The sequence below is a fragment of the Homo sapiens genome, chromosome 10, assembly GCF_000001405.40.
Source record: "Homo sapiens chromosome 10, GRCh38.p14 Primary Assembly".
Lineage (NCBI taxonomy): Eukaryota > Metazoa > Chordata > Mammalia > Primates > Hominidae > Homo > Homo sapiens.
The window spans coordinates 85,644,036-85,668,952 of NC_000010.11; the positions used below are offsets into that span (position 1 = coordinate 85,644,036).

The 24,917-nt window shown below is 46.2% G+C and overlaps 1 protein-coding gene, 1 long non-coding RNA gene and 1 pseudogene across 5 annotated transcripts in view; 1 reads left to right on the plus strand and 2 right to left on the minus strand.

Annotated features, from left to right (window-relative positions):
• The window catches only part of GRID1 (glutamate ionotropic receptor delta type subunit 1), a 767,244-nt gene that overhangs the window by 44,484 nt on the left and 697,843 nt on the right, over positions 1 to 24,917 (minus strand). For all 3 annotated transcript variants that reach the window (NM_017551.3, XM_047425122.1, XM_047425123.1), the window contains one exon: positions 3,167 to 3,362. In NM_017551.3, coding sequence (NP_060021.1) covers positions 3,167 to 3,362 — 196 coding nt within the window. The remainder of the gene's footprint in view (positions 1 to 3,166; positions 3,363 to 24,917) is intronic.
• On the plus strand, positions 30 to 4,047 carry GRID1-AS2 (GRID1 antisense RNA 2). 2 transcript variants are annotated; one of them, NR_199154.1, is made up of 4 exons: positions 30 to 153; positions 1,529 to 1,631; positions 2,390 to 2,632; positions 2,957 to 4,047. It is a non-coding gene; the product is annotated as a GRID1 antisense RNA 2 (long non-coding RNA). The 2 variants fall into 2 exon arrangements; NR_199153.1 differs by having other exon boundaries at positions 1,529 to 4,047.
• On the minus strand, positions 5,977 to 6,225 carry RN7SKP238 (RN7SK pseudogene 238; annotated as a pseudogene).

The window sequence follows — 24,917 nt, forward strand, 5'->3', positions numbered from 1 at the left end:
TTATCACCAACCAGAGGGCTCAGTGGTGTGTGTTGGCCTTTCTGAGGCATAAGCAGGCACATGTCGCCTGCAAAGAGGGAAGGGGTGGGTACTTGTGAGGAGCCCAGCACTGCCTTGCTTGGTCTGGACTTACGCATTTGGAAGAGTAGGGAGGTGAGCAGAATGAGATTAATGACAACCTTTGCTTCAGGATACCCATACATTTCTCCAGGAATGGCTCACTTTTTGAATTAACTCATTAACTAATTTTCTAAAATCTCCTGCTAATCTAAACCTAACACCAACTCTGACTTACCAACAATGTCCTTCTCTCTTCTCTGCTGCTCTGGCTCTCCCACCTGTAGCAACCACTGTGGTGAATCTTGTATTTTATCATTGCTTTGGATGTGTATGTGTATATTTTATACATTTTTAAGAGGGTATAATATTCTGTGTTACCTTCTATTAGTTGACCCGTATGAAATTGCCTTAATGTTTTATTTTACTCAATATTATTCTGCTAAGATTCATCCATTTCATTGTAGACAACATCTTTCTTTATATTGTTAATGGTCATTTGGATGGTTTCCAGGGTTTTGGTTCTACAGGAAGTGCTACTATGGCCTTTCTTGTCTCCAAAAGTGCATGTGGACATTTATTTTGGGTGGATACATTGGAGTGTAATTGCTGGGCCATACAGTATGTAAGTGTCCCATTTTATAAGAGAATGCTAAGCTCTTCTCCAAAGTGATTGTACTGAGCACACCCCCATCAGCAATTAACCAACTGTTACTCCACGTCTTCTTCACCGCCTCTCATTTTGTGCCAAACTAATTGGTGTAAAATGATATAATCTTTATGGTCCTGATTTGTATTTCACAGATCACTAATAATTTTGAACATCTCTTCATTTGATTACTGGCCATTTGTGTTGCCTCTTCTGTGGAAGGCCTGTGCAAGCCTCTTGCCAGTTTTCTATTAAGTTGTTTGAGCTTTTCTTATTAATATATTCTTGACAGTAATCTTGCATTGGTTATATGTATTGTAAACATCCCCTCCCAGTGTGTGACCTACCTTTCTATTTTATTTAAAGTGGCTTGTAATGAATAGAACTTTAACAAAGTCAAAAGTAGCTATCTTTTTTTTTTCTAAGCAGTGCTTTTTTTTTTAGCATTATGCAATGAATCTTCTTAAGACCCTGTGTGGATGACAGTATTGGCTCTCTCTGAGAGTCAAAGAAAGCCAGGAAAGGGAACGCGAAGGCCATTTGGCCCAGGCCTCACATGCACAAAAGGCCTTAAATCAACATTGTGTTCATTATCTTCAAATGAGGTCACCTACAGCCACAAAGATTCACTGTCAGGGGTGAAAGAAGATCCTGCAGCTTAAGGCTAGAGCATCATCCTTTGCAGTGCAGTGAGAACTACGAGGTTTTAATAAATCTTGTAAGCATGAGAATAGCACAGTTACACTGCATTCTATTGTTATTGTCAAAGTATCACTTTGTTAAATCTAAACATTCAAAATTTATCATGATATGTATTTTCAGATCATTTAAGTCTCTAAGGAGACCACCAAATGGAAAGTTGCCCAGGTCTTTCTCAAATCCAAGAGTTCCCAAACAAGGAGAATGGTGTGCTCCATTTCACAATGTTGGTAACTTACGAAACTGGAATTCACACCTAAATATGTCAAGCTCCAGAGCCTAGACATCTTCTGCTGTTCAATGTGGCTAAATGGCAATGAAAAATCATCCTGAGCATGGGATCCTGTACAAGTCATCCTGTGCACGACCATCTTCCCAGTGGGCCTCACTCTACATGGCACCACAGCTAGGTGCCCCAGCCTGTCATGGGATAGAGGCTGCACTCTGCCTGATGCCCATGTGTTTCCAAAGCAAAGGGGGACTCAGGCCTCTCTCCCTTGACCCCTCTGGGGCACATCAGGGAGGGGCTGGCAGATTGCTGAGGACCATGAAGGGCAGGGCGGTGGGCTTTACTGGCCCCAGAGCTTGCCCCAGGCTGTCCTGACATCCACTGCTCTCTGCAGGAAGGCCAAGAAGTCACTGGAGTGGCTGGGGGGGCAGCACAGGGATGAGTGTGTGTGTGTGTGTGTGTGTGTGTGGCAAGGTGTTAGTGTGCCTGTGAGGGTATGCATGAGGAGACTCCACAGAGGTGGCAGGATGGGTCTGGGAGGGAAAGGATGGGAGGAGACACTGAGGCAGCCAGTCTGCTCAGAGAGGCAGCGGTCCTGGCCAGGGGGCTGTACATGTCTCTCGCCCCATTCTCTAATGACCTCAGGACAGTAGCCATTGCATGTGGGGTTCACTGGACAGGAGGACCCCACCACCAGCAGCAAAATCATAACACCTGCCTTCATCCCACCACATTCTTCTTCATTGACCTCCAAGGGCTCTACAGCTGCACGTGTTGGATAAATGCCAGTTCCCCAGCTTGTAACCCAAGGAGTCATGAGTCAGAGCCACCCGATCCTCAGCTGTATAAGAGGATAATGCTGAATTCGAGTCATTGTGGGAAATTGACTGAAACAAATGAGCAACATCTAACAGTGCTGAAGAGCATCATGGCCTTTCTCCTCCCTTCCTCCCTCTGGCACTGGTATCTTCCCATCTGGCCTCCTAAGGCTTTGCCCGGTAAGGCTCTCTGCCCTTATCCCCATCTCTGAGGTACAACTCTTCTCACAGTACGGCCCCAGAGATGAGTCCAGGCCACCTGGCTGACCCTTACCCCCTTTCCCCGTATGCAGACTTCCTCAACCAGACCCCCAAGCTAACCACAGTGGGCCCACCCTCTCCCCAACACCCTCCCTTCACTCCTGCAACTCTCGCTTGGCACTCTGCTACTGCTTTTGCCAATTGTTCTCACCTCGGGTGGACAGGCCTCTCTGTGTCACCCTCCTATGAGCCCATGAGGAGGGTGGGCCAAAAGTCAGGCTTAATCTGCCTGCTCCTCCCCAGCCAGCACCACTCTACAAAGTTGGAAGGTCCATAAGAAGCAGAGCAGCTGCTTCTGAAAGGGCATCCACCTAAAGAACGTGTGCGATGGATCGCCTTGCAGGTAACAGGGCTGCTCAGAGGCAGATGCCCCTGGAGGTGTCTCCCACCTGGGGGCTGACCACCCCGTGGCCCTGTTACAGTGCACGTGCCCAAGCGCCAGCTCCTGCCTACCTTCCTGATGCCTTCTGAAGGACTGGACACGCAGTTGTCAGCCCCTCCGTTCTTGCTGATGGTCCGCCAGAGTTCAGCAAACGTGCTGTCCTGCTCCAGGGGGTTGGTGCCCTTGGCTCGGAAGTACTCATATACAGCAGAATCCCGGACAGTGCCATAAGACATTTCCACTTGTTTGGACAGGTCCTGGAAAGTCCTGAAATGCAGAAAGGCAGCGAGGCATGAGTACATGCTGTGCATTGCACACTGCAAGGATACAAATGGGCTGCAAGGCCCTTCTGAACTCCAAGCCCGGCATGGCCCACTATCCACATTCTTCATTCCCCATCCCCCAAAGTTCAAGTCCTTCAGCCCAGAGTGGGACTTGCAGCGCCTCATTCAATTACAGGTGTGTTTTCTCAGTGCAGATTAATTCAATAAGATGACTGGGCACCTAAAACCAGGTTCTTTACTGAACTGGAGGGATAAAAGGATGAGTAAGACATGATTCCTGCCTTCAAGGAGTTTATAGTCCAGCTATAGAAGCAAACATATAGACAGAGAATCATAGTATCAAAGAGTCAGGGCAACATGGGAGGCTGTATGCTGCGGATCTCCAACTCAGACGCCTGCAGAGGCTGGGCAGGAAAGAGGCCTATGTTGGCAAGATGAACGATAATGATGGCTGGCCTGTGACACTCAGAGACAGCATGAGGAAGAAACGCACTCAGAGACCAACTGACTCAGGGTAAATTAAGAGGCATCCCCTCCAAAGCTTGCAGCTGTGCTGGGGTCTAGCCAAGTATTGACTTCGAATGCTCCCCTCCCCATGACCTCCTCAACCAATTTGGTCTTTGAAAAAATAAAAAAATTGGATTTTTATATCTCTCCTGATTTTAAAATGTTGATAATTATTTAAAAGATGATGAAAAAAACAAAGCACTTCTGAGGGCCTTGGGTTTGCTCTCCTTAGAGGAGTGGCAGGTGGCTCCAGCCAGGTGCACATTTGAGGGGGGATTTCACAAGGAACGGCCATCAGCAGCCCAAGAGCAGACTTCTGAGCTAGGGGCAGAGGAGGAGACTCCTCTGGGGAAGGACAAATAGTCACAGCAGGAAGGACCAGTCGCTATGAAGATTTTACTTGCCTCAGAAGAGCGTACTTGGCTCAGCGTGTTGACAGAACGTCATGTACCAAACAGAATTGCAAAATAAAAAAAGCCCAGTGGGGAGCCAGCCTCTCTCTCCAGGTTCCAACTTGATCACTCTTTACTTATTTCTCTTCTAGAAATCTCAGTCTCTCCTCTTTAACAACCCACATCATCATCCCTCCCTCTCTCTGAGTCACCATTTCCACAGGAAGAGCCAGTCTTCTCAACTGGATCTACACAACCCTCCATCTTCCGGTCTCATCTCTGGCTGTTCTCCCCACCTGCACACAGAACCATAGCCAACCTTGAAATGAGAAATCCCACACACTCCCCATCCATGGCACCAGGCCACAGTGCTCCCTCTGCCTGGAATCCCTTTATCTCCCTCCTCTAACAACACCTCTACAAGCCCGTTGAAAATCCAACAGCCAACAGCTGCCTCTTTCCTTGGGGAGCCATCCGCACCCCAGCCTCCCTGTGCCCTCTCCACACCTTGTGGGCTTCTATGGCAGCATGAGCTCACCGGGACTTCAGAGGGCCATGTGCCAGAGCAGAGACAAGCAAGGGCTCTGGAGTCCAATTGCCTACCTTGCCTGTCTGTCCCCCACAACCAACACTGTGGTCCAGAAAAGTTAGTTAACTTATCCGTGCCTCAGTTTCCAAATATTTTAATAATGGAGATAGAAGCAGAGCCTGTAGCAGAGGATTGCTATGAGGATTAAATGGGATTTGTGTTCAGCTCTCAGAGCAGTTCCTGATGGTAACCAGTAGTGATTATTCTGGGTCCCCAGTAGACTATAAGAATTTGGAGGAATGGAGCTGAAGGAGCCCCATTTTTGCATCCACTGCCCTGGACCAACGCTGACAGCAGCCTCCCCGGCCAGCACACAGAAGGCCCAGCTGTGGATGCCTCCCCTTGCTTCGGAGACACATGCCACAGCACTCCTTAGGTCCCTGCTATGTGGCCCAGAAACAGAGCTCAGTATTCGTTTCAATACATTACAGATGAAAGGAAACATAAAATAACAAATTCGATGAAGAAATCTTTCTAATTATTGTTCATTATTTATATCTAATTGAAGCAAGATGTTCCTTTGCCTGAAGGGCCCCAAGGGTTGTAACTCTGCCGTAATTTGCCTGTAATGAAAGGAGGGGGATCTTTTTTTTTTTCCACATTTTTAAAATTTTTTCTCATGGTAATACAAACAAACACGAGGCTTTGATGAATGAGAAACATCAGGATAAATTATACAGTTGAGTCTAAATACTGAGCTGCTCTAAATTGCTGCAGTTTTCATGAGTGTGGAATGAATGGGTAACTGCCAGGGATCTCCAAACACTGTTTCATCCCCACATTTGAAATGGAGATTTTCTCTCTCCACTTGGTATTATTCATTAAGGCGCCCACGGCCAGAGGCTCAGGGAACGTCTCTGGTTAACAAGCAGGCAGCCCAAATGTTTATGGCTTCATGTTCATTTCTGTTTTAGTAGACCTCACTGTTCCCACCCCAAAATGCCACCCCCATCTTCTTTGAATCTTACTGCTCAGACCCACGGCCACAGCTTTCATCCATCCATCACCTCTAATAGCCACAAATTTGTGCAGAGGAATCTCTCCCATCTCAGACATGCACTCGATCTTTCAACAAAGGTTTCCAGGCTCACTAATGCCCAGCACAGGGGGCACTACCATCTTATTCCAGGGTGAATAAACTTATGGAAGGCTATCTGGGGTGTTGAACACAAGGGCCCAACTATTCATCCACCAAAGCCATCATCTCCCTGAGGAAGTCATCCTCTTGTCACAGCACCCAGTTTTGGAGGGGACACACAGGGAGGAATAAAGGAGAATGGGGACAGCCAGGCATCCAGACTGCCAAGCCAACAGTGGTAGTCAGTGGAAGACAGATGTTGAAGTCAGATAGGACGCCCATTCTAGCAAGTGAGGGAGGCTTCACCAGGAGGAGGCTGTGTTATCAGCACACTCAATTTAGAACTTTTCTGAAGTCAGTCTCTTCAGCAACAACTGCTACAAAGTGTCCAGGTACCCCCACCACAGAGAGATGAAGGAGACGTGCCTATCACAGGTGTGGTCTCTATTAACCTCACATGCACGATGCAACTTGCTGATGTCATTCAACCAGTTATTTCACCAACAGTTCCTGAATGTCTACTAGGTAAGGCACAGTGCACACCAAGCAAGGAATACATGGCAGGCATCATCAAGGGGCGAGTGATCAGAGAAGTAAAGCAACAGTGACCAAACAATATGAGATATATTAAAATACAGGTCTGTATGGGGGATCCCAGAAGCACAGAGAAGTAGCTAACCCATGGGTAGGAGCTAAAGAAATGCTTCCTAGAAGAGGGAACATTAAGCTGAGTCAGAAAGGGTGAGTAGAGGCAGCGAGATGGAGAACCAAGGGGTAGAATGTTCCTGGAAGAGAAGATATTACCTGAGAAGGCATTTGGGTAATGAAAACACATGGCTTATTCTGGACACATACCAGGGAGCAATTCACATCAGCCAAAAATATGTAGGTGATGGAATTTGACAGTCCTGGGTGTGGATGCTGCTTTGAATGCCTTCACTGTTTGACATAGACCAGTAGCTCTCAAAGTGTGATCCTCAGAGCTGCAGTGTCAGTAGCACCTGGGGCCTTATGAGAAATGCAAATCCTTGGGCCCCACTCCAGACATACTGAGTCAGAAACTCTGAAGGTGGTGCTCAGCAGTCTATGTTTCCACAACCCTCCAGGTGATTCTGATGCATGCAAGCTCCAGAACCATGGACTGGGGCAAGTTCTATAATCTCTGAAGCCTTAGATTTCATAACTCATACCCAACTCACAGGGTTGTTGAAGATTAATGATCACAGACATATACCTGGTACACAGTTAATGTTTAATAAATGCTAGCCCTTCTAGTAGACTGCTTATCAGTAGTTCAAATGGTTGGAACACTGTGCTCATGTGAAGGAGTCATGGGTAACAGGCCAGAGTAGTCACACCCAGATGGAAGCAAGCATGGGCAAGCCGCATGTCTAAGCTTCCAGGCTCATGTGATTGGAGCCTATCTCCTCAACTGCCCATCTGTCTCCCCAGTGAGAAGCCTATGGCCCATCTTGTTTCCATCTTGCTGCCAAGGTACATGCAAATGCTCCCCCATCAGCCCCCAGTCTACTGCCTTGTCAACAACACACTTTAGGCACTCAGGATACCTAAAAGGATGACTTGCAGAAGTCTGAACCCAGGATGAGCATAGAGACACCAAAACTCCTCTGGCAGGCAATCTGGACTTTTGCTTTGTGGGTCGTCATAGTAACAGCCTAGCAGAGGCTACCCTGGGAAAGTAATGAACTCCTAGGCAAGGAACTGCTCAGGAAGAACGGCCTCAAAAGCATCAGCCCCAGGCTGCCTGCCAGAGTCTGCACTGGCTCATGAAATGTCATGGTGCAAGCATGTGTATCACTTGAGCCTCACTTCTGTTTGCTGCCTATCTTCTTACTTCAACTTTTGATAATATTTTGTGTTGGAATCCTCCCCTGACAAAGCCTACCCTCTCCTCCAATCTTACGTTTAAACCAATATCTTCTACTCAAGTGTGTCCTACCAAAAGTGGATTTGGGACCAATGCAAGCTGTTTCTCTGTATCTCCTGACCTGGATTACCGATTTTTGAAATTTCCACATGCTGAAAGCATAGCTGATACCTTTGAGCACATCAGATTGTCTTGCAAAAGGACTTTGTAAGCATCCCTTGCCTCTGAGAACACTGTCCTCTAATTAAACATGCACCTCTAGGGAAGACCCACCATGCATCCTTCAGCTGTGGCCGAGGATATTCTCCCCAGCTTGGTACCACCTCCTGTCCTCCCCACACCTTTCTCCGTAAATCAATCTTACTATTTCCTAGATATATGTTCATTAACAAAGAGATAAATGTGTTTGCAGTATGAGAAAAATCAATAATACAGAATTTATAAATACATCTTTGCATGTTACAAAAATATTTACATTGGCAATGGAGATAAACACTTGTAACAAGAGCAGAATCAATATTCAGTATACGTAAAACGGATTTCAACAACGGTGGGGATGTCATAAGCATGGGCCTGATACATGTGGATCTGGAAGTCCTATTATTCTTCCTTAAGGAGAAGAGAATGTGGTGGAGTGGCTCAAAAGACACGGGAGGGTGGGGATATCCATCCTGGTGACTTGAAACTTTCATAGCTACAGCCTACAGATGCCTTTACTATCATTCCAGCAGTCTTGATTTTCTATCTCATGTTTGGCTCTACAAGAGATGATGCTGCAATCATCAAAGCAATCTGGAGTGCCTGGATAGGGCTCCACAACTGGCTTCCAGAGGGCACCATGACCCACCCTGCTGCACACTGATAAGCCTCTCCTGGGTTTCTTCCCCAGCGCCCCCCAGCCTCTCTAATCTGTCACCCATGCAGGGGAAGGCTTCCTAGGTGTCTTCCTTCTTTCATTCACTCGTCATTCAAAAAACCCTATTTCCTGTGCATCTGTCTGCATTAGACAGTGCTCTATGTCTGGGGATAGGGCAAGAATGGCACAAAGTTCCTACTTTTGTGGATTTTACATAGTTGAGATGAGACAAAGAAACAAACATCAATGACAACAGCAACAATACAATAACTAGGTAATGCCAGGGTCAGCAAACTTTCTGGAAAGGGACAGATAGTGCCTATGTGGTCTCTGAGGGCCACACAAGACTCAGTCACATATTCTTTGCTTTTGTTTTTGTTTTGTTTTCCAACGCTTTAAAATGTTTTTAAAAAGGAAAAGCAGTCTTGACTTGCAGGCTGTGACAAAGCAGGCTGCAGGCCCTCTGAAGGCCTGTGGGGCATCGTCAGCTGACCCCTGCTGCTATGTAACAAGTGATGAAAAATGCTATGAAGATTAATAAAGCAGAGCAAGGGTGAGCCAAAATGATGGAGGCATTGATTACATAAAGTAGCCAGGGTGGATTTTGAGCCATTGGAGTTGACATCTAGGGCATGTGTTTCTCTAGTATGTCCTCGCACTGGACTAAGAGGAGCAGAGAGGAATGAACTCGCAGAGGATGGGGCTGAGGCCTGCTGGGGCTGTCCTGCCAAGGAGCTGAGACAGGGTGGCCAAGGAGCCAGCTTATGAGCCTCTCCTACCTTGCAACATTTACCTGGGGACCTTCCAGGAAGCCTAGGAAAGGGGATGCTGGGGTGTACACAGGAGCTGTGGTTAGAATACTGTCTCCGCCAAAACTCATATTGAAACTTAATACCCAATGTGGCAGTATTGAGAGGTGGGACCTTTAAAAGGTGATTGGATCATGAAGACTCTGTCTTGATGAATGGATTAACCCAATCATGGACTAATCAGTCATCATGGGAGGGGAGATGGTATTTTTATAAGGAGAAGAAGAGAGGCTTTAGCTGGGATGCGAGTAGGCTTGGGCCCCCGTCCGTGTGATGCGCTGCACCACCACATGACACTGAAGGGAGAAGGTGCACACCAAATGCAGCTGCTAGACCTTGGACTTCTCAGCCTCCAGAACTGTAAGAAATAAATGCCCTTTTTAAAAAAAATAAACTACCCAGTTTAAGGTATTCTGTTATAAGCAAGAAAAAAAAGACTAAGAAAACAGTTCTCCTTTGTATCCAAAGCCTAGTCGGTGTGATTCTGAGTAGTGAGCAGAGGGACTGCAGATCCAAACACTGTATGAGGACACTTAGTGACCCACAGGGTGAGGGTTGCAGAGCCCACAGCAGGAAAATGCACGCTTCCATAGGTCACAGAGCCCTTCTTCAAACCTATGCCTGAAAGCCAGCCTCGGAGGGCCAGCTGAGGTGTCCTCCCTCCTCACCTTCCTTCCCTCCATGGCGTTTTCTCTCCAAATCCCACTTCTTCAATTGCTATTGAAATTAAAAGACACCCAAAATAAACTGCTAAAAACTCAAAGCATTTGTATATATTTACATACTTGTAAAAAGTAACAATTAATAAATGTAAATAAATATAAAAACAAAAGTAAAAGGGATAAGCAGTGAATGCCTGCAAGACTTCCACTTCTTACAAACACATTTTTGTAAAATTTGCATTTTTATTACGTTATAAATAAAAAATGTGATCTGAACGATTTTAAATATCCTGCTGCTGCCCAAGCATCAGTTCTGGGCCTTGGGAACTGAGCTCTGTGCTCTCTTCTATCCTCTATGTCCACCCTTCCTCCTGGGTTAGCCTCCCATCAGCCAAGATCCATTGAGAGGCAGGAGGTCTCTCTACCAGCCCTATCAAACACCCTGTCCACCAGCCATGAGGAGGCTGTGATAGTTGTATCTTCAGTCCCTACAGCAAGACAAACATGTGAGACTAATTCAAAGTGGTCCGAGGCCATCCCAGGCACTCAGGGCCCATCAGTACTGAGGCTCCCACACCAAGGCAGGCTGGAGTTTCCTCACTTCTGCACCTTCTGCCTGGATTCAACCCAGGCCTGGTGCCCTGGTCCCAAATCAGACTGTGAATTCCTAAACATAGGCATATGTTATATGTGTTTCTGATTTGCCAAACTCAGCCTAGATCCTGTATGTAAGTAGAGCTCAGTAATAGGAGCTGTGAAAATCATCCTGATGAGGTCAAATAACTGTGGGCCAGGTGCTAAGCCAAGTCAGGAGCTCAATGTCCACACTATTCACTAGGTTAGTTCTGGGGCTTCTATTTCCCCCAGCAAAGGAGGCTTAGTGTAGAGCCTTCAGTGCTTCAGTGCTGCCTCCTCCAGCTCTTCTTGGCTACCCTGCTTTTGGTGTGCCAGCCTGGAAGACCTCTTGCACACTCAGGCCTCCAAGTCTTCACTCAGGTTCATTGCCTGCCTTCTCTGCTGTGCCCTGACTAAAACCTACCCACCCTGAAGGAATCAGCTCAGCTGTCATGTCGTATTGAAAGAGTGGATCCATGCCCACTGGATCCAAGTCCCTGTGTGTTCTGGGCTTGGTCCTATCCTAATGTTTTCCCTTTTAAGCTTCCTGTGCTGTCTGCCCACCTCAACCTTGAGCTCCCCCAGGGAATGGACTCTGTGTCCATCTCTGAATTTCTATCACCCCACATACAGTCTGACAGACATTAGGAGCTGAGTTCATGTTTTCTGGAAGAATGAACTCTGTTTCAAAACAATTTTGTGTTTAGAACTGAATGGCTGAATATGGCTGGGAGAAGATCCAAGCTAAACACCAGCATGGTGATTCTAACTTTAGAATCATGACCACTAGCCTCCAGGAGACCCTTAAAGCTGCTTGAGATCTTCTAAATCTCCCTGTGCACTTCCTCCTCCCACGCTCTCAGATGACTCTCAGACAATGAGGCTGCTTCTTTTTTCCTAAGAAGGGAGAAGCCATCAGTGGAGAACTTTGCTTTTCTAGAGAACTCCCTTCTCGAAAACTAGTGAATAGTTGCCTTCCATCCTTTTAAAATGACAGCTTTGTTTTTACTCCTATGCATGTCTAACTCTGTTTGTCTCCTAGATCCCAGACATTCTTGCCTTCTCAAAGTACATTGCTCTTCCAGTTGTCACCTCTACCTTCCTCACCATGAAATTATTTCTCTCTGCAGATCATTTCCATTGGCTTGAAAATACATACATACATCTTCTCTCTCTCAAAAAAAAAAAAAGTCCTGTGAGATGACATCCTCCTCCAACCACCCTTCCAGCTCTTCTTCCGGAGAGTTATCTATGATTACTGCCTCCATTACCCTCTTCCCGTTTCTCAGGAACCTGGCTTACTCCAGTTTTCATCCCTCTGCTGATCTGAAACAACTTTCATCAAGGTCATTAATGATCTCCCAAATACAGTGGCCAATTCTCAGTCTTCACATCCCTCCAACCAGTAGCATTTGACAGGTAGCACTCTCCTAGATGCCCTTCCTTCATTTGGCTTCCAGAAATCACTCTTGCTCAGTCCTCCTCCCACCTTGGAGGACCTCCTTATCCATTTCCTAATTCTTCTTTCTGTTCTCAGACTCTGAATTTTGGAATCTTCCAGGGGTCAGACCACTGATCCCTGGGTTGCAGGACTTTTGCCACAATCTCATCATGTCAGTTGTCTGTAGATGCATCTATACATTGATGACTGTAGTGGGACACACCAGCCCTGACCTACCTCATCCACTCCTGGCAATCACCCGTCTGACCACTTCATTTGGATGGCTAATAGATCTTCACACTAAACATGCTCAAACTTGAGCTCTTAAATCACTAACCCCTAAACCATGCCTGCTCTTCCTCTAGTTCTCCCATGTCAATCAAACACTGCTCTATTCTTTGAGATGCTGTAGCCAAGAGCCTTGAAATCACTACTGACCCTTCTCTTTCTTATGTATCGCACATACAAATTTCAGCATTTCCTATCTCTTCTATCAAGATACATCTAGAATCAGATCACTTATCATGACCTTCACTCTGCATCTTATCTGGACATTGAGATAGTCTCTCTAAGAATCTCCTTGCTTCCACCTTTAACCCCTACAGCTATTCCCTAGGAAGGCCAAGCAGAGTGATCCTTTAAAAATCTGTGCCAGATCATGTCACCTCATCATTCAAAGCCCTCCAATGACTTCTTGACTCCAAAGTCAAAGTGTGCATCCAAAGTCCTCACATGGCCTGAAAGGTCCTATGTTATCTGGACCCCAATACATCTGCTCTCGCCGTACCAGCCTCCCTGCCCTCCCACCTTGGGGTTTCTGTGGTTGTTTCTTAACCTTATCCTGGTTTACTCTTCCCTCAGATTTGTAATTGGCTCACTCTTTCAGTGTCTAGGTCGAATCAAATGTTACCTTCTCCAGGACGCCTTTGCTGACAATCTTTTACAAAACACAGCACCCCTTACATTATATGATAAAAATACAAAAAAAAATCACAACTTGACATATATGGCTGCTTAATGTTAGTTCCCCTCCCAGAATAGGACTTGGCTGTTTGTTTTTTTGCTGTATCACCAGTGCCTACAACTTGAGTGACCAATCACCCCAGTTTGCTTGGGAACTAGAGATTTCCTGGATGCAGGACTTTCAGTACTCCAGATAAGTTCTAGCCAAATTGTGATAATATGACCCCTACCTACAATAGTGACCAGCTCATGGTAGACACTCTAATGAACATAGGTTATATGTATGAATCATATATGAATGAGTTGGCCTTTAAAAATATCTAGATTTGATATTCTGTTGGAAAAGTCTTCATCTTGGGTTGACTAGTCTCCCTTCAGGACAACTGTGAGTCAATCATCTGCAGAGAAGCAGGCCTAGTAATAGTTTGAGGTGCTTGAACCAAAGAACTGTGGCCCTGAGCCAGGAGGCACAGCACAAAGCTACGTGGGTCCAGGCTGCCCAGGAACAGATTGCCAAGGAGTCTGGGAATCAGATCTAGTTCTTTGGGCTCCATCCTCAGGGTGCTGAAACTTCATGATCCAGGTTCTTTGTGGGTGCAGTGGAAATCAGCATCCACCAATTGGGAGAATTCTCCTGGGATACAGCCGTTTTCTGCTCCCCTGGCTCCTGTGTGCCTGCCATTCCATGGGAGTCCTGCCAGCCAGCAGGACCTGCATGCCAAGAACATGGCTAGCTCTCAGCTCTCAACACCCGCAAATATTTGCTGCCACAAATCAAGACAAAAGCAGGATGCACCATTAACCTTTAATATATCAGTGCTGGGGCTCTTAATCAATTATGAGGCTGTCACAAATGTGTCTGAAATGCAAATCAGGGCAGCAGCCCTTCGGGAGGCTGTGAAGGTGCCTTCTTCCCCTTCTGGCACAGCCTGTGTCATCCTGTGCTCCAGACAAACAGCCTGAGTCTCTTCTCTCCCTGCTAATATTAGTTTTCACCATCTTTCCTTCCCTCTTCTCCTTCCTTTCAAATGTCTGTCTGAACCCTCTAGTGTGTCAGCTTCTCCAGCAGTCACTTGATATACCAGAAGAAAGATACAATGAGACTAACTTCCAGACCCTCTGCTAACACTTGCTTTATACTGCTTCATTGAACCCTGGCAATAGCCCCTTCATAAAGTTATTATTTCTACCCCCCTCATTTTACAGATTAAAAAATCAAGGCTTCAGGAGATTAAGGAATTTATGGAAGGTCACAGAAGCAGCAAGTACAAGAGCTGTCTTCATACTCAGGACTGCTTGATACAAAAACCTGTCCATATTAGTATCATCCTATGGTGATATTAAGTAGCTCATAGCTAAGTGAGGAGGGCGAACAGGCACATGGATCATTAGAAACATCATGCAAAACACGGTGCTAGAATGAAGCACAGAGTCATGGGAACATGAAGTTGAACCTGTCCCAGCTTAGCAGACAAGGAACTGGGACTGTGGGCAAAGAGGGAGGGTTCATGGGAAGGGTGAGGCTGAGGCTGAGGCTTAAGGAGAAACAGGAAATGGACATATAGAAGAGAGAAATAAAAAAATGTTCTGGGCAAAGATAACATTGCATTGTTTAAATCACGGATGTGTGTGAGAAAGAGAAATCTTCTGGTAGCTAATAACAGTTTACTAGGAGACAGCAGAAATGGTATATTACTAAGCACTAAGAATAGGATTGCAGGACAATTGTCCATAAAATACTTAGAGGATTGTTATAACTGAGTTTTTGTGGAAGTGCAAAGATAATGGAAAAATGATAAGCTATCGATGTTCCCTAGACAATTATGGGGCTGGAGAATGTGTGAGCTGAGTGGGTGGAGACATTCTATACTGTGGACAGTTAAGGAAGCCACTGCAGAAAGTATGTCACACATATTTTAGAATGCAGAGCTGAGAAGCAGCTATGAATCCATGTGCTTGCACATGTGTGTGCATGCATAAATGTGCACACCTGTTCCGGCCTGGGTGTGTTCATGTAAGAGTGTATACTCAAGGGCCCCAGGGCAGGAAGAAGAGAGGAAAGATGGAGGAGAGTGCTGCTGGAGGGCCAGGACAATTGGATGAGGGTATGCCATTTGCTATGACTAACTTTAAAATAGAGGAGTGGTTGTGAGTTCCTCAGTGGTTGGATGGGGACCCCAAAGGAGGTGGACTCATGTGGCTGAGAACCCAACCAAAGCAGCTGGTGAAGGAATCACAGCACACAAGACATCTGCCTGCCTGAGTTTGTTTGTGGATCTGAGCAGTCAGCACTCATGGTGCAAGAAAACAGACTGAGGCTCTTCCCTTGTGGGACAGCTGGAGGGAAAATACTAGCACACATGGGCCAGTGATTGAACAATGCAAAACCAGCTGTAATTAAATGTGAAGCTATAAGATGCTAGCCGTTCTGAATCAGTTTGCAGAAAAATCACATTAGCAAGGATATAGACTCTGATGGGAAGTTTAGGAAAGGGAATTGGGAGGAGAAGGTGTGCTCTATCATTGATGAGTCTTGTCTGAGTTCAGAGAATGGGAGGATTCCTACTCTGTGCCATGTGCTGTTACATGGGCTAGCGCATTTCATCCTCAGAACCACCCTCTGTGATAAGCTATTCTTCCCACCTTATGGATAAGGAAATTATGAAGTTTTTGAAGCTGGTCCATGCCAGAGCCAAGTTGAGCTTGTTGAGCTGTTGATGCTAAGCTGTTCCAGGCCTGGATCTCCAAGATGCCTGAGCTATCTTCCCAAACCAGCTCCAATTAGGGATGATGTCCATGCCATGGAATGTTTGGTTACAGCTGTTTTTATCTTGGACACCATTTCGCTTGTGGCACCATTAGCAATGCCAGGTGCCAGCCACACCACCCCAAGAGCTCCACATGCCACATAACTTTCACCTGGCATGCTCTCTGGCCAGTGACAGAGACTATCTGCTGCAGGTGCCTGCAATGCCTGGGGGGCATCAATGGGAGCCCACCTATGCCCCAGTTAGGACCAGGATACTGGCAGGATAGAGCATGGTCCTGTTTTTTGTTCTTTGAGGTAATTATTCATCCCATTGACTTTTTAGGGTTCAGGCAAGACACTCAGGATAACTCTGCCAGTATTCAACAGTGTTTGTCCAATGGGAGCAAAACATCCCGCTACAGAACACCAGATACACCACCATGGAAAGGTTGTTGGAAAGTACACAGATGGACACAAACATCTGGGGATATCCAAACATATCCAGACCTGGTGCCAGTCCCTCTTTCATGGGATCCTTGTGACAGCCCTGGGAGAACAGTCCTAATTCTTAGGACTCTGGGAGGTAAGGTGAATTCCCCAGAGAATTAGAGACTCATACCAATTTATGCAGGACCCTACAGTGGATCATGAGCAGAGCTGATCACGTATGCCAGGCTGTTCTGGCTGAAGTCTGGTTCTAAACATCAAACCTCTTAAGCAGAGGAAACAAGGGAAGCAACACAGTGCAGTTCAGATGCTATCACACCAGGAGTCCAGGGCCTGGATTCTGGACCCTGCCCAGGGAACATGGCACTTCCTTGCTTTTAGGAGAACTCATGCTGGAGTGGCAGGGCAGGGAAGGAGTTCAGAACCTAGGCAATGGAGTCAGAGTGTGCTTTCAAATATCACTCTACGTCTTGCTAGCTCTGTGGCCGTGGATAAGCTACCTAACCTCTCTGTGCTTCAGTGTTCTCATCTACACAACAGGAATATTCATGGATTGAGTGAATTCAAGCAGAGCACTAAGCATAATGCCAGTCTGTGGGAAGCATCCATTAAGTGTTAGCTATCGTTATGAGCTTCAGTTTCTCCAATGATTAAATGAGAGAATGATGCTACGTCAGTGCTTGTAAACTGCCAACCTGCATGGCCAGTCAAGAAGTGGCTGGTTTGGCTAGCCTCCTGTTTGCCTGCTTTGAATCTGCATTTTTTTTTTTTTTTAGCCCGGGCCTGTGATTTCTGGGTCATCACAGTCTCAGCACTCTGGTCTTAGACCGACATTTACATTCTCTGCTTAGCCCTGTAAACACTGTGACAGAAACCCGCTGGACAAGATGATCCGTCAGGCCTTTTCCTGCTGTGATATTTCATGATTCTATGGCCTGGGCTGGAACTATAAGACTTACTTTGTTTAGGATTCTCTCTTCCAGAAAAGCAGCATCATGCACTTTTTTCTCTGAAACACAGCTGTTTTCTCTGAAAACTAGAATCTCATTTTGCAGTGTCTGTTGAGACTCAGAGCTACCACAGGGAGGATCTCACAGAGAACAGACCTCTAATGATTAAAATGTAGTGTGCTCAGACACCAGGAGCTTTGCCTCTGCAGAGTGCTGGCAGCCACCTCCTCAGAAGCAGGGACCCAGGGAGCTTGTCCCCAAGTCACACCAAGGCTACAGCCACAATGCACCCAGTGGGGCAAAGCAAAACAACCACCTTCAAAGGCACTAGCTCAGGTCACTATGGGCTTTTCTGACTCTTAACAACATAATAATGTCCCCACAGTGCCTCGGGATGAAAGGTAATGCACAAAATTTAGCCACAAACCCAAAGCAAAGCCAATGTCTTCCTCCGTGGGAGAAGAGAGACTTCCAGCAGGAAAAGCCAATGATTAATTTTAGGTGGAAGCTGCTTGCCATTCTTCAAGAGAAATGAGCATTCCAAGGGAACCCTCAAAGGACTGTATTATTCCAAGATGGTGCTCTCTTTGCCTGCTGTCTCTCTAGACTACTAGGTCTGCCAAAAACAAGGTTCTCCCTGGAATGGTTTCCTTCTGCCATGTTCACAGGGCATCCAGGCCAGGTAGGAGGAACACAGCCACCTGTGTTTCCTGGATTCAGAGCCGGGCACATCAGGACCAGGCTGTACCTGAATCTTTGCACTGAAATCCCAAGAGTCACTCAGCAGATGTTGCATCCTGATTTGTTTGAGTGGATGAATGATGTATAAGACACACATCTCACTGCCTCATCTGTGTTTTACTCTCCTTTCTCCTATTCCAGAGACAGTAGTCAGGTCAACAAACAGGGATACCTACAGGTCTCTGTACAGGTATTTCTGATGTTCCTTCATGGGTTTGGCTAAACAGGCTGGAAAAGTAAAAGCAAAAGGACCAGAGGGTGCTTGGCTTGAGGAGACCCCCAGGTAGGAGAGGGCTCCAACGCCAGGATAGGGGGCTTCAGGGACCACATGACTGCAGTGAAAGGAGCCGCTGGGCCAGCAACGCGGCTGTGGGTGGAGCCATCTCAGCCGAACCCTGCCTCCCTCCGCCCTGCACACTGGATCCCCAGCTCCCTCCGTAATACTCCTCCCCACCCACAAGGCCAATGCCAACCGGAGAGAGGCTCCCTTCTCCTTCCAAACCATAGGGCTCCTCTCCCAGGGAAGAAGCCATGTTCCCCCATGCCTGAACTGAGCCTTGTATGACATTTTTCCTGATGCCAGGGCCTAATGGGTAATGTGGCCTACCAGAAGAGGGCTGCACTGTGTCGTAGGAAGCACCATATCCACCATGCCGCCATGAAAAGGTTCTCTGTGTGAGGTTGGGATGAATTCTGACCATGAAGCTGTCTGGACAAGCCGTTCATGGGTCCCCACTCTCCTCAGGATGAAGGGACCCCTCCAGATCTGACTCTTTAGGCCTCGAAGGACTTGTCCCACTTAGTCCTCCAGCAGCCGCTCCGATACTTTATGTTCTGTCCTGTGCAAGATTTTGTTTCCCAAGCCCACAGTGCTCTCTCCTGCCTCTGGTCCCTCTCGTATGCCACATGGAACAGTTCTCCTTCCTAAACATGCGGACAACTCCTCACATTCCACATCTTGGGGAACACATCACTACCTTCAAAATTCTGTTCAAGACATTTCCCCTGTGATGGGTTGGAATGCATCCCCCCAAAGTAAATATGTGGCATCCTAACCCCTAGTACCTATAAATTTGATCTCACTTGGGGAGTCCTTATCAGAGGTCATCAAGTTAAATGAGGTCATTAGAGTGGCCCTACTCCAGTACCACGAGTGTCCTTATAAAAAGGAGAAATTTCTACACAGATACCTACACAGGCAGAATGCCATGTGTAAAATGAAGGCAGAGAGCAGGGTAATGCATCTACAAGCCAAAGAACACCAAAATTGCCAGCCACTGTCAAACGCTGGGGGAGAGGTGAGAACAGATTCTCCCTCACAGCCCTCAGAAGAAATCAGCTCTGCCCACATTTTGATCTTAGACTTTCAGCCTCCAGAACTGTGAGACAATAAATGTTGTCTAAACCACTCAGTTTGTGACACTTTGTTCACAGTACCCCTAAGAAACTAATACAGCCCCCATGTGCCCTGACAATCACAGAAACTTCCCTAATCATGGTACTCGTCTTGCTGTGCTGTACTGAGTCACTTCTCTGCCTGCTCCTCTGAATTGCCAACTGCCACTCCATGAAGGTGGAGACCATGCTTTCTCACCCACTTTTTATCTCCAGAGCCTGACACAATGTTAGGTGCATGACAGGAGCAAATGATCTCTTTATTATAGAAATGTAAGAATAAATGAGTGAATAAATGAATAGGATGATTTCTGGTCATAGACAACTGTTGCAACATGGTCATTATGTTGGTTACAAGGTAATGTTACTGTAGCACTGTTACTCCACCAATGCCCAGCCCAATCCAGGTATTGAATGTGCTCTATACTCCCTGCTGGATGAATAAATGAATAGATGAGTCAATTAACCTGTAAAGAGACACCTCCCAGAGTATAAAAGGCACAGTGTCCTTTCCAGCATGATTTCATTCCTGGCGCCATGCTTCTTGAGGGGAACCTTGCCATATGGAATAGTCACTCAATGTTGATGTGCAGCAGAGCATGACATGAAGGCACTGAGAGGCCCGGGAGGGAGCTTTTGACTGGGAGTCAGAGGATCATAACCTCCTTGGGCAATTAGTCTGAGAGTCAACATGTGAGAGCCTCCAGTAAGAAGAGTCATGCTTTAAAAGAATGCCTACTATGTGCCAAGCTCTGGGTAGAATCCTCATGAAACCCATGAAGGGCAAGTATGAGCATCTCTATTGTCCAATGAGGAACCCAGGCATATGAGATAGGTGACTTGTCTGTGGTCCTGTAGCCAGTAAGGGGCAGCAAAGATTTCTGCCTAGCAGTGCCTACCTCAAAATGCTCTTCCCTTAGAATCAGAGAATTACTTTAAGACTAACCTTACATCTCAGACTTTTCCATCTCTGTTTCCAGTTTTTTATCTTTTGTAATGTCTGAATGTATTTATGTCTTATTATCCTGCATGGTTTGAGGAAGCATTGTCAACGTACCAGCCAAAATTAGCTGTGCTTGGAGAACACAAGCAATGAGCTCAGTCTCTTCACTGACAGCCGAGCTTGAAGCCACAGGCATGGGTACCTTGGAAGTGGCAGTGGCAGCAATATTAGAATCTGAGGTTTCATTTCGCACAAAGGAAATGAAATCCAGGAGGGCGCAATAGGTCCCCTCTCTACTTGAAGTCTTTCCTTTCAACTTTTCAACAGGAATGTTTTATTGAGTGATGTATGTTAATGACAAGCATTGGATTTGATTCAAATAAGCTTACATTTGAATCCAAGTTTTGCTTCACACTAGGTATGTTAACTGTTTTCTGCCTCAGTTTCCTCATAAGCAATCAGAACTTAATGTGGTAAAAATTAAATGATGTAATTTGTGGAAAGCACTTAGGCAGTTTCTAGTACAGAATATATTGTATAACACAGTATATATTCACACACAGATTATACAGTATACACTGTATATTAAAATGCAAGTAATTCCTCAATAAATGATACGTCATTATTAGAACTATTATTATTAGTGCTACTGTTGTTGTTAAGGTAATTTCCCTTACAGGGTTGGGGAACCAGGTGTGACTGATATTTAAGTAGACTCCTTCTCTATTGGACAAATATATTCCAGTTTCCTTTCCACACAAGCAAACCCCAACAGCCCCAGGGTCACACCTGGGCAGTGACTAGCCCACCACACATGTTTACAGCTGTGGGGTTCAGGATGAAGGGCGTCAACCTACAGATCCAAAGTCCTCTAAAGAGCTACCCTGGTCCACCCTCCCATGTTTCCCTCCTTCTTCCCATGATCCTAAAGGGTTAACATGATAATTAAAGCATGGGATCCTAATTCTTATTATATTAATTAAACTGAAAACTGCAGATGGTGTTTAATAACAACTTAGTCCCAGCAGGTTCCAGGCACTTTACCTAAATCAAACATATCATAAAGCTGGCATGAGACTCACAGAGTCTGGCCCTGCCACATCTGGCCAGGGACACATGTTTTCACCTAGAGCAAAAGGAACATACCATCTCTATTACTTATGCAGATGTGGTCTTAAATTGCTTGACAGTCTAATTCCACCCCACCATCTTCTGGAGCCAAAAATAAAGGAGTATTGATTGCAAAGATTAATAACAGAGCTTAAGAAGGAAAATGGTGCAAAACACCTTTTTTCTCTCCCTTCGTGATATAAACGCCTGCCACCCCTGCAACCTAATTTTGTCACCCAGCACACGGGAGTGTATTAATTAAAGTGACACCAAGGACAGGAAAATCTGAGCTCTTGGGGTGATGACTGGAAATACATAAATATGCATCTCCAAGCTGTCTCGGGAAGGGAGGCACGTTGCCAGGCAAGATCAGCATAATTCCACCAAGGCGAGGGTGGAGAGGAGTGTGCACAGCTTGCACAGCTCACCCCTGGAGGTCAAGGCACTTATTCTGGCAAATGTCTCCTAAACCCAAAGAAAGAAACTAGACAAAGAGCAAATATGTGATTTTTCTACCTGGTTTGTAAAGAACTACACCACCACTTTTGTAAACGTCCTCTGATATGGTCTGGAGGGAGCTAATATGAAATGAATATTTATTATGCACTAAATTTCCAGACTATACTGACAGAGATAGAGTGGTGCCATTTTATAGGCAAGGACACTGAGGCCCAGCATGGTTAGTCAATGTCTCAGCCAGTATTGAAAACCAGGTTTGACTAAAACCACACCCCTACACTGATCTGCTGAAACAGAAAGCATGAAAGAACAGGGTGAAATGAACAGATGTTTCTCAGGGGCCAGCTCTAGAACAGTTCTCCTGGAGGGTGTGGATAGGGACCTCCCTCCAGGGTCAGCATGTCCTTTGAAAGGGCCATTTCTTGCTGCCATCCCTCCCACTGGCAGAGGGTGCACTGGGACTTTGATGCCTCTCCCCAGCGGGGGCAGGTACCTGCAACCTTGGGTGGAGAAGTAAGAGATTTAGTTGAGGTTGGCTTGTAAGGCATGAGGGGATGGGGGATGATTTTAGAGGTGCTCATTTTACACTTTTATTTAGGTGAACTTCACTGTAGTCAATAAACCAGTTTCAAGAGCCAACTGTACTTTGTGACTGATTTCGGTTACTACAGGGGACGTGACTTCAACTCATCCCGAGCTTCCCCACTGTCATCATTACCTGTTGGGCATCTCCACCTGGACATCTATGGGCATCTAACACTTACGTAGTCTCAACTGGACCTTGTTCTGCCTACCCAAGCTGGCTCCTCCCCCATACAGCTCACATCAGGTGCAGGTGTCCCCATCCACCCAGGTCTCGCACTAACACCTGGGCTGCCTTGCCCCTCACTCTGGCCTTTCTCCCACCTGTCATATTCCAACAGGCCTGACCGAGTTGAGCCCCACAATATTTCGCAGATCTCCCTACTCCTCCAACATCAGTGCTACTGCCCTAGTTTAGGAAATGCAGAGAACATTCATTAGGCTGTAAAGAGAGGGAACTAAGCAGAGGCAGAGAGGAGCAGACACACAGAAGAGAACCCAGGATCACTGATAACAGCAAAGTAGTGAAGACCTCGCTCTCTGCGGTTATGTGATTGACGTGACTGTCTCCAGTGTAAATCTGCACCCACATCTAGCACATGGGAAGCCCGTCTATTCTTTATCTGCTCTTCTTCCTGGGAAAAATTTCCCCCGCATCCTCTGGGACTTTCAGGTAGAGGCAGGCATTCTGATATGTAGCAACTCTTTCTAAAATCACACACACACAGAGAGAGAGAGAGAGAGAGAGAGAGAGAGACGAACAATGTCTTTTATTTGTTAGCCTACTCCCCTAGTAGGCTGTTTTAAAAAAAAAGAATAAACACAAACAATAGAAGATTATTAGTGAGTTCTTACTCTGTGTAGGGCAGTGTTATCAGTATTTACAGAAAAACCCTTTTAGGTTGTCCCTATTATTATTCTCAGTCTACAGAGGAGGAATCTGGAGCCCAGAAGGTTAATTAGCTTGCCCAAAGTCACATGTCCATTCAATATCGGATCCAGCATGTGAGCACAGGCTGTCTGGCTCCTGCACATGGACTCCTAACCGTGCTCCTGCACTTTAAGTTCATGAAGACATGCAACAGGTCTGGCTTCTTCCCCAGTGTGCCCCCAGAACTGAGCACAGCCCCTAGCACATGGTAGGTGGTCAAGAAAAACTTTGTGAGTGAATGAGTGGATGAGTCCAGCCTGTTCGTGTATATCATTGCTTTAAACCCTGATAACTGGTCTAGTAGTATTCTGTTCCCAGCTGTCTGACTAGGCTTCCCCGCTCTGCAGGAAATGACAGCTCCCCTTGCCCTCCATTTCTATGGATTCATGCTGAGCCAGTGCTCTCCCTGGAGGGCACCCACCATTCCCCATCCCTAAGCCCTAGGCAAAGGCCAGCCATGCAGAATCACATACCATCTCACCTGCTGAGTTCTCCCCTTTGTCAGAGGAAAATCCCCGGCTAACCTGCTGTGTACTGTGGCTGTTGTTATTATGAGATAAGGTGCATTAGCCATGTGAGGGCATTGGCACGTGCATTCCACAGCCTGTCAGACACAGGAGACTGGGGATGCTTCCACAGGGAGGCTCGGAGAGGGATCCCAGGGAAGGAAATGCAGTCTCAACCTGGCCCTTCCTGGCCAAAAACAAAAACCAGAGTAAAAGAAAGAAATGCACATAGACAACAGTCAGATTCATTCCATATGTGAGCAACGGAGCATGTGCCTCTGACTCTGTGTGTGTTTGTGTGTATATGTGTGGTTGGCTACCCTTGTGGGCATCTGTGGGCTGATGTGTGTCCTCTCTGTGTGGAGCTCTGAAGTGGAAGCAGGAAAATGTGCCTATTCTTGACTCCAAATCAAATTTGTCCTGCTTTTCTTAGTGTGTGGAGCCAAGAGAAGCCACTTCTGAGATGTTCTTTAGACGCTACTGTTTAAGGTGAGAGTTTGAACTAAGTTGTCAATAAGCTCACAAACTGTCAGAGTGGGAGGCAAGTTTAGAAATCTTCTTATAAAATCCCTTCATTTTATAGACCTAAAAAATGAGACCCAGAAAGCAGTCACTTTCCAAGGACACACAGCTAATGAGTCTGCCAGGACTCTGCCCACACTCAGTGGACTTTGCACAATGCCTGAGGGACTGCTAGAAAACCTGCCATTGCTTAAAGGAAGAATTTATCTCACAGTTCAGCAATGGCAGTAAGACACTGCTTCTAAAGGCAGGTCACCAATATTCAGGCTCTACGCTGCACATCAAAAAGTCACATTGGTTGCTGTGTTCTCAACAGCTCATGATCCTTCCTGTGAGTCCTCTAAGTCAGGACAATGGAGTGTGCTCAAGGGGTCCAGATCACAGGAAGACAGAGAGAAAAAAA